This window comes from Homo sapiens, chromosome 6, assembly GCF_000001405.40.
Source record: "Homo sapiens chromosome 6, GRCh38.p14 Primary Assembly".
NCBI classification, from domain to species: Eukaryota; Metazoa; Chordata; class Mammalia; order Primates; family Hominidae; genus Homo; species Homo sapiens.
In genome coordinates, this window is record NC_000006.12 from 105,588,554 (window position 1) to 105,593,254 (window position 4,701).

General features: G+C 41.0%; 1 annotated feature.

Moving 5' to 3' along the window:
• Nucleotides 2,493–2,542: an enhancer, noted in NCBI's record as "active region_24873". NCBI's record gives its function as "activates an Ori minimal core promoter by ATAC-STARR-seq in GM12878 lymphoblastoid cells {active_cell/tissue: GM12878}" and the evidence as "EXISTENCE:reporter gene assay evidence [ECO:0000049][PMID:35858748]".

Genomic DNA, 4,701 nt, shown 5'->3' on the forward strand with positions numbered 1-4,701 from the left:
CTCTCTCCCCACCACCCACCTCATATGTTGAGATGAAAGTTACAGCAGAAAGCCTCTTTTGAACCATTATGAACAATTCTATTCAAAGCAGCATCTGTGAATTTTTATAAGACTGGCCAAGATTGGCTCAATTATTTCTCCATTCTCTCCAGGGGATAGAAAGTTTCCAATCAAGGGTTACAATGGAAGCAAAAATGTTATGTTCATGGGAGGTAGAATGCATTGCTAAATAGATGGAAGACAAAATAAAGTTCCTCAGTATACATAATAGCTCAAGGATGAACTTGGTTGAACAGATTAGAGGAACAGATGCAGATAAAATAAACTTCTCTCTCTTTGGTTTAACTTGGGAGACTGAGGATTTTCTATATGGTACAAACCTTGATGAATGTTGAGGATATAGGGGTTCTCATATATCTTATAATATACTAGTGAGTCATCTGGTGAGATGGCTGGAAGTTTTTTTTTTAAGTAGATATAATCTCATAAGTGAGGAGAAAATAAATCATTGTCTCAGCTAGAGAGAGTGATCCTTTTGAACCCTTATATGGTTCAATCTCATTTTAACATTTTTGAAGCAGGTAGGTTTGGGATTTCTGGTTCCTGTAAAGCAAAGCCCATGATGGTTCTTTGATTCAGTTGTCTCCTGGGGAAAATGAGGGAAGAAGGTTTAAGTGGTTTGTTATCAGTGGCTACTGAATTACACCTTTTACACCATTACTTTTTTTATTTATATTTATTTATTTTTATTTTTTGAGATGGAGTTTTGCTCTTGTTGCCCAGGCTGGAGTGCAATGGCACGATCTCGGCTCAGCACAACCTCCGCCTCCCAGGTTCAAGCGATTCTCCTGCCTCAGCCTCCCGAGAAGTTGGGATTACATACACCATTACTTTTAACGACAAAACCAGCAACTACTTTTGCACCAGTCCAATATATGGAGGGATTTACTGATGTATGAAATATGGGTTGGGGGTGATTAGAAGAGAGAGATGGAAAAGCTGGGATATCAAGAATAAAGCTTGTAGGATTAGAAAAAACAGAAGGAGGAAAGATGAGATAAGGTAAACTCAGAGCAAAGCATGAAATAGGAATTATGTTGGGCTACTCAGTGGGAGAAGTGACACGTGTCTCTTAAACATATGCTGGCCTGACCTTACTGGGGTCAAAGGGACAGTCAAGGAACCTGCCCTGAAAATGCCAAGAGGAGGCTGAGAGCCAAAGAAAGCAAGGGTCAGCCTCCTAGGAGGCCGCCTATCTACACAAATGAGTTTCCCAAGAAAGTCTCATTTATTTTAGGTCTCTTCTGTGGAATAAAACAATTCCCTCTTTGATGGGATTATATTTGTGGGAGGGAAAGGAGCAGGAGAAAATTCAGTGTCAAGGGCAAAAGTCCACTAAGATGATTCACCTGGGAGATATTTTTTGGAAGGTCTGATACCCTTAGGAGCTAGAAATCAATATTCAAAGATCTCCCATTCCAATGTCATTTAGGCTGCAAGTATGCAGATTTCAGGGCCTGTAGGGGGAATTTATCCGGTAGTGGAATCCTAACACATCTTTTCACTTTGTGAAGCTTGTTCTATGGGTAAATTTCATACCGCCTTGACTTGTACGAGTACAGAATAGGGGAAAGAGCAGTGGAATAAAACCTCAACATCCCAGAAATAGTTTAATTACAGTTTCATTTAGAGGAGAAAAGGAACAGACACTTTTTTATTTTCTATTTTATTTTTCTTCATTCTTTGAGAAAGCATGTCATTCATTTGGTTTTGTCTACTTCAGTATTCAAAATTCCCCTCTGGCCAGTACTGGGAGGCTTCTCTTCCAAGGAGAGGGCTCTCCCACTTCCTGGGAACAGGCTTTGTGCGCAGAAGCCCTGGAGAGTTCAGCAGCTGGTGCTGGGAAAGTTGGGGATTCAGGAACCCTGGAGCATCAGCAGTAAGTTCAACAAATAAGGTGTACCAAGGGTTTAAAATGTGCTCACCTTCACTTCCAAGCATAAGAAGAGGAGGCATAGGCCGGGCATGGTGGCTTATGCCTGTAACCCCAGCACTTTGGGAGGCTGAGGCAGGCAGATCACCTGAGGTGCGGAATTCAAGACCAGCCTGGCCAAACATGGTGAAACCCCGTCTCTACTAGAAATACAAAAATTAGCCAAGCATGGGCACATGCCTGTAATCCCAGCTACTTGGGAGGTTGAGGCGGGAGAGTCGCTTGAACCCAGGAGGCGGAGGTTACGGTGAGCTGAGATCGTGCCACTGCACTCCAGCCTGGACAACAGAGTGAGACTCTGTCTCAAAAAAAATAAAATAAATAAATAAATAAATAGTGGAGGCATTAAAAAAGATTAGAATAAAGAGATGCTAGAAGAAGCTATCTCTTCTTTCCATTTTGTAGATGCCATCAACCTGTTCTTGAATTGCATTCTTTTTGTCTTTGGGTCATTTCTTTCTCCCTTTATCCCAGCATGAAAGGGAGAAAGGGTGGTGGGTTTTAAGAACTAAAGTTTCTTTTGTAGGTATCTCTAGTCTCCCTCCAGCCTTGTGAATCTCTCAGCAATCCTGAGATGCTACTTAGGACCCGCCCCCAATGCCCCCTTCTGAAGAATGGCCTGATTTATAGACACTCCCTAACATAGTCAGAGGCTATTAGCAACTCTTCAGTTGCCCCACCTTCTAGATTATCTGTCTGCAGTTGGGAAATTCCACTAGCCACTTCCTGAAAACAAACTTTCTACTCTTAAGTCTGTAGATGACAGCTATTGAGTGCCTGGACAACTTGTCTGCCCCATATGCAGTTGTAGAGAAACACCTGAGCCTTTTGGGCCAGCAAAATCCCTCATTCCTTCTCTGCCCTTACCTAGTCCCGGTCTGTTTCATGGATTTTTCAGCACTTCCCCTATCAACTTGGCTATTCCCTGTTATTTGTAAAAGCCAAGTTGATAATCCCTCAAATTTTGCCAGTAAATTGATGCAAAATAAAAAAGTGAATCATTATGGATATACAGTTCAAGTTTTGCTAATCTATCCACAGTATTTATGGAGTGACCAATGTGTCCAGGAAGGGCCTGGTAGAAGAGGTTTTTTGGAGGCTATAAAACAACAACAACAACCACCAACAGATTAGATGCCTGTTGCAAAATTCAAGACAATCAGGAATCAACTAATACAACATCTATATGGCATAAGAAGTCTTCAAAACACCTCATTAATATATTAACTCACCACAAGTCAGTTTATATTCCAGAGTATAGTTTAATCAAATATTGTTTTGATGTAGCTACACACATATCAAATTTAAAAAATATACATTATGACTTGGTATTCATTTATTTGCCACCAAAACTAAGCTCTTGAAAACTCGGTATACTAAATATGTGTATTTTAAAAAGATGTTGCTTCTCCATCACATTAATAGAAATAATTACACTTGAAGAGACATAAATTATATTAGTTTTTTATATTGATGTTTCCGAATCAGAAAAAAAGAGTAATTGAATTAAATCTAATGTAAGGGAACAGCCTTAAACTCTTGGACTGGGGGGTAAAACCAGCAGGCAGATCCAGAAGGAAGGTTTGCAGAGTGTTGCTCAGGCAAACAAGATACAAAGGAAAGAAAGTCCTGGATGTTGTTAGGTAGAGCAGGATATTAATACCTAAGAACATTAGGTCTGAGGAAAGAGTCTTTTTCAAACACAACTACCTTGGAGAAAATTTGAACTGCCATCTCTCAGTGATTCCTTTTAGGATAATTTCCTGTTTGCATGTTTACCATGTGCAATAAAGAAATAGTTCTGTTAGACTTATAAGAAAAGGGGCTACACAGCTGACTACTGAGACCTACCAGCCCTTCCTAGTCTTGAAACCAAACCTGGCCTGACTCAGAAAGAACTCAGTATTAAGGCATCCCTAAAACTCATCTGGCCAAGATCTCAACTTCTTGATTTATGGGTTTCTGCCTTGTAAGACCTGGCCCCTACCCAGGGATGCCTGAGTCACTCCCAGTAACCTGCCTGTTCCCAGGATTCCTCCTGGCCACTTGGTTGTCCTCCCGGTGAGTGGAGAACCGCCTCCCTCTGTTTCTCATGCCTAGTACTTTGTGTTGGGTTGTGTGCCACTGTCTGCCTCCCTAAACCTCTACCTATCCCCTGGATGCTCTTTCTGCATCTAATAATCATAATTCCCACTTATTGAACATTCAGTGTGTATAGCAGGCACCTTGCTGGGCATTTCACGTATATTGTCTGAACTAAACCTCCAAACAAGGCCATGAGTCATATTATGATTCCCATTTTATAGAAGTGGAATCTGAGGCTTTGCAGGATTAACATGCTAGAAAATGTTGAAACTGGGACTCAAACCCAGATCTGTGTATTCCAGAGGTAGTGCTCTTGGTGGCTTTGCTATCTGCTCTGTCTTCAGTTAGGTGGAAATCTGCAGTGGGTCTCTCTCCCCTCAGCAGTGGGCAAGCTTATTCTGGGTCTTTCTCACTGCATCTGTGTTCTGATATATTACAGGCTCCTTCTGACTCGTCCATGTATTTTATAAATAAATGTGCTTTTGTTCATCACAACAGTCCCTCAAAAGACGTCATAAAAGGAAAAGAATGGAAAATTTTGGAAAGGAAGTTTTCTGAGACCATTTACGTGACAAAGAAGTCAGGAAAATGTGGCATTGTTGTGATTATCTTCATCATTTCAG